Here is a 5,656-nt window from a genome sequence, read left to right as displayed (position 1 = left end):
GATATAGTGTTTAACCAGCACCTGGCACAAAGTAACTTCTCTGTCCCAAATCCCTAAAGCAGGCAATATCCCCACAAAGACTCTCTTTTCTCTACCCAGCTTTATCCAGCAGAAGACTTCTTTTCCCTAAACAAAATTGGGGATGGTGTTAGAAGTTGCTGGGGACCTAAAATAGCCATCACCACCCTCATCCCATCTTTCCCCCATGTGTTAGAAAGAAACTAATAGAGAAGTAAGACACAAGGGACAGACAGAGAGTAGGATTTTAGCTTCCTTACGGAGGAAAGCTGGAAAGCACGGTTTGGTTCATCAGCCAAAAGGCATCCCAGGAGGTCCCCCTGACTTGAACTTACTCCCTGCTAAGGCAAATCTCCGCTGTCAGAGAGTGCCCTGCCCGGTGCTTAGCCCATAATGAAGACAGACATGGAGAGTAAAGAGGGGCCTGCTGTTGGGGCCGACAGACCTGAAGCAGGTGGGACAGGAGCACTGTTCCCAGTACGCGCAGTCCTTTCTCCAAATCTCACCCCAGTGGAAAGTGCACACCGGGATGACCAAACCAATCTGATTGCTTTAGAGCCCACCAGGAGGGGACAGCCTCCCTGTGACAATACCTCCACCTCCGACCTCCTCCCGGTGTTTCTCCTCCTCCTCAGCTCATCCCACCCCTGCGCTCCTCCACCTGCAATGTTCTCATTATTTCTACAGGGGCCTTCCTTGCCCTACTTTCCCCAGCATCACGGCAAAACCCCTTATGGCTTCTTTCTGTCCGTGGAGCCCATCATGGATGTGCTAAGCACAGTTGTCACAAACCTGGGTCTGTGTGAAGTGGGATCGCAGGGATAGAAACCCATCCAGTGCCGCACTCTAGGCAAACCTAAGGCAAGGCCAGGCAGCTGACTTAACGCTTACTCTACTGCCATCTCCTGGAAGGAAAGGGTATTTCTTCTCTTATAATAAAGGCAAGATCCTTGCATTTGACCATTTCAATCTCTTTGGGTAAAAATGGACCAACTCCTCCATAAAGTAGGGATGGGAAATGCTTTCTTTGTATCAACAAAGGCTCCCTTTGTTAGGGAAAACAAAAAACACTCCCAACTTGTGGTGGAGCCTGCTTATTGCTCCCTGGTTCCCATTCTTTCCACTTTAAAGGTGGCAAAGGTGTTAAGAATGGAGGCTACATTCCTGGCCTCCAGCAGCTGGCTGTAGAGCCATGTGACTGAGTCCTGATTGATGCAAGGTAATAAAAGCGTCAAGTTTCACCTTCTAGGAACTCACCTTCCTCCTCCCCCTCCATCCTGCACCCTGGAATGTCTTGGACCATGTATTATCTGTTGCTATGTAACAAATCACCTCAAAGCTGAATGGCTTAAAAGAGAGAACATTCATCATCTTACCATTTCCATGAGTCAGGAATTCAGAAGAGGCTAAGCTCGGTGGTTCTGACTCAGGAACTCTCACAGGGTGCATCAAGACATCAACCCCAGCTACAGTAACCTCAGGATTGCCTGGGGCTGGAGGATCTGCTTCCACAATGGCTCACTCACATAGGAGATCTGTTTCCTCCTAGCTTTGGCAGAGACTTTTTAGTTCCCTGCCACATGGGCCTCCTCATAGGGCTGCTTGAGCGCTCTCACAATATGGCAGCTGGCTTCTCCCAGAGCTCGTGATTGAAGGAAGAAATAACATTGTCTTTTTAGAACTTGGTTACACATCATCACTTTCCACCACACCCTATTCTTTAGAAACAAGTTGCTAAGTCCAGCTCACATTCGAGGAGAGGAGAATTAGGCTCCATTTTTTTTTGGAGGAAACCACAGACCATATTTTTATACTGCCATAGACCCTGATATTGAGGCTATCTCGTAGAGCAGGATACCTGTCTGTGGCCTGTTAGGAACCAGGCTGCACACCAGAAGGTGAGTTGGCAGTGAGAGAGCAAAGCTTCATCTGTATTTACAGCCACTCCCCATTGTTTACACTACTGCCTGAGCTGCCTCCTGTCAGATCAGAGGCAGCATTAGATTCTCATAGGAGTATGAACCTTATTGTGAATTGCGCATGCGAAATATCTAGGTTACGTGCTCCTAATGAGAATCTAATGCCTGATGATCTGTCACTGTCTCCCATCACCCCCAGATGGGACTGTCTAGTTGCAGGAAAACAAACTCGGGGCTCCCACCAATTCTACATTATGGTGAGTCGTATAATTATTTCATTATTTATTACAATGTAATAATGATAGAAATAATACACTTGAATCATCCCAAAACCATCCCCCCACCTGGTGCATGGAAAAATTATCTTCCATAAAACCAGTTCCTGGTGCCAAAAATGTAGGGGACCACTGCACAGAGTACCCTGCCAGCCTTGGGCTATCTACAGACTCTTTCTAAAACGCACAGAAATATAACACTATCTTGTTTACACCTCCAGTGTTTGGGGTTCTCTGTCATTTGCAGCAAAGTTTAATGCAAACTAACAAATGAAACTTAAGTCAACCAAAGCAGCAAAAAGCAAGTCTTGTGGCCAGGAATTCTTTCATTTATCTTTCTCCCTCAACCCCACATCCACAGCCAACTATTTCTCTAATCTCAACTTCTCTTAATCTCACATCCCATTGCAGCCAAATCAATATATTGACTCACCTCTTCTCCTCACTGTGTCCTCACTGGCTCATCTCAATTCACCCTTTATTTCCTCCCTTGCTGTCTACACAGCAGCCACAGCTATCATAACATGTAACAAGCCATGTTTCCCCCCTGCTACGACTCACTACTTCCTTCTCGTAAGAGTTGGAATTAAAATTCTGAATCAAAAGGTTGCAAGCAGATTCACAATTCTCCAAATTTCTCTTTTTTAACTAATAAATCACGGCTGTATATATTTGGGAGGGTACATGTGATACTTACATACATACAGTGTGTGATGATCAAATCACAGTAAATGAGATATCCATCACCTTAAACATTTACATCACGATTCTCCAAATCTCGTGAATAACAGTAACCTCAATAATATTCTACTTTCTCAAAACACAACTGAGAAGAGCCTGCTTGCTGCATCCTGACTCTTGCAAAACTGCCACAGCTCTGCTTCCCGTTTTGGCGAGTACCACGCTGTACTAGTGTTACTATAACATTGCCTGTCTTCCCTGTCTTGCTCTTCATCACTCTCCAGTGCCTAGCCCAAGCCTAGCAGTGAGCAAACAATGAATAAACATTTGTCAAATCATTAAACAAATGATTAAATGGAGCAGTGAATCACCAGTCCCGAGATTCTTTGTTTGGAAGGAAAGAGGAGGCAGAGATTTTTTTTAATTGAGTAAGCATTCAGCATTTAAAACACTGGAAAATTTTAAAATCTAGATCTCTGGCTCCTCTGAAAAAGTTGGATAATTCCATTTGCAATAACATGGCTGAACTTGTAGGACATTACGTGAAGTAAAACAAGCCAGGCACAAGAAAAACAAATATTGCATGATCTCATTTATACGTGGAATCTTTACAAATCAAACTCAAAGAGTCAAAGAGTAGTGGTGACCAGGAGCTGGGGGTGGGGATGGAGGAGATGTTAATTAAAGGATACAAAATGTTATTTAGAAAGGGGGAATAAGTTCAAGAGATCTATTATACAACATAGTGACTATAGTTAATAACAATGTATTGCGTACTTGAAAAATAGTAGATTTTAAGTATTCTCATCACACATAATAAGTAGGTGAGGTAATGCACATGTTAGCTCAAGTTAGTCATTCTATAAGGTATACATATTTCAAAATATGTTGTACACCACAAATATCTATAATTTCTATATGTCAAATAAAATAAAATAATTGGACAATTCGTTTACATAGAGTCTATCATCTGCCTGGCAGCAGTTGGCCAGAGCAGAAGGGGAAGGGGCTCCCCTCTTGAAGGAGGGATGAGCCTAGCCATGAGCTGGTGTCCCCTCCCAGCCAGTCTTGCTCACTGAAATTAAACCTGTGGCACATGTTGCGTCTGAGCTTTCACACCCTAACATAGAACATCCATTGTGGGGACTATGTGACCAAAAGGGATTCTAACTGATTATGAAGTCCTGGGCCTCCCATAGAAAGATACAGACCAAGCCTATGGCAAATAGAAGCCAAGATCTGACACATGAACTGCTGAGGCCACAGCCATTGCCACACTGCATGGGCCGGGGGGCATGGGATAAGGAGGAGGTTTAGCACAAGGAACTAGGAGTCGAGCTGGCTGGTTGGAATCTAAACTCTGCCACTTCCTCGCTGAGTGACCTGGGATGAGTGATGGGTGACTCCCAGTCTCCATTCCTTCCTTTGTTGAGTGGAAGTGATAATCCCACTTACTGCAGAAACTTGGGAAGATTTAGTAAGAGAAGTTGTGCAAAAGCATTCAACTGTGTTGCTGGCACAGGAAAAAGGCTTGATAAATAGGAGCTAATATTATCATCCCTCTTCTCTTCTGAGGGAAGAACACTTCCCTACACATAACTAGACCTTCTAGGCTCAGGCTTAAGAAACTTCCAACAGAACCCAGCACCTGAAGGAAGGTACATGTGGAAGGAAAGGCAGACCTCTAGCAGAGTCTGCTAATTAATCTCTGCACATATATATGGAGAGAAGAAGAGATTATTCACATTAATCAGCAGATTAATACATGTATAATATGCATATATATGCATAAAGATTATCAAGCAGCAGTTAGAGATGAACTACATCAACTCTGAGATGCATCCCAAACAGTTCTGACCTTTCGCATCCAATGATCTTTGCAACAATAATTGAATGTACTATGGGCACTTATTCAACCTGAAGTCTGCCAAGGTTTCTGGCAGCTAAGTAGCTTCAGACAGTTGTGATATTATGGAGATGCCTCCAGCATGCTCTCTGCATCTCGTAATAACAGTAAAGAGGTACACAAATACAACACACTTCCTTACACAACCACACACTTCCTTCCTCAGTAATGTGTGCCTCTTTATCCAGTAATGTGTGCCTCTTCTCAAACATCAGCATCTGTCCTGAACAAAGGAACTGCCTTGGGACATTGTCAAATGAAAGAAGGCACCAATTCCTCTGAACAGCCTGGCCACCGTGTCTTTGTTTACTCGCTTCTTCCTTCACCTGTGCGTCAGATATTTCTGAAACACAGAGATGGAGAGGAATGAGTTAATATTTAACACGTCTGCACTTTGCCAAACACTGTGGTGGGTCCTTTGTGTAAATATCTCATGATTCCTAAAGAACAGATGTGGGGAGAATATTACCTGCATATTACAGAGGAGGACATAAAAGCTCGGAATGTTTGCCCCGCCAGAAAGAAATAAAGCCAGAAATTGAATCTAGAAGGTACTCTTAGGGGCTCATATAATCTTTGCAGAGCTGAGAAAGAAAAGGTCAGGGAAGTTGTTCCTGGAGGCTGGGAAGTACCTCCGGATACCTCAGCCTGATGTCCCAGTGAACATGGTTCTTGAGACTCACCTGGCAGCCTCTGTGAATCTCACACCTGTCTACATGAGGGGCATAAGAAATCATAAAAGTATTAATTTGGGGAACTGATAAATATCCATTAAATCATCACAATTTATGTTGTTCTGCCACGGCTTCAGCAGGTCTCTCTGTTCGGGGTCCCTGACTTCCCGCAACAGGTTCCAA

Source organism: Homo sapiens, chromosome 8 (genome assembly GCF_000001405.40).
Source record: "Homo sapiens chromosome 8, GRCh38.p14 Primary Assembly".
NCBI lineage: Eukaryota > Metazoa > Chordata > Mammalia > Primates > Hominidae > Homo > Homo sapiens.
This window is presented reverse-complemented; position numbering follows the sequence as displayed.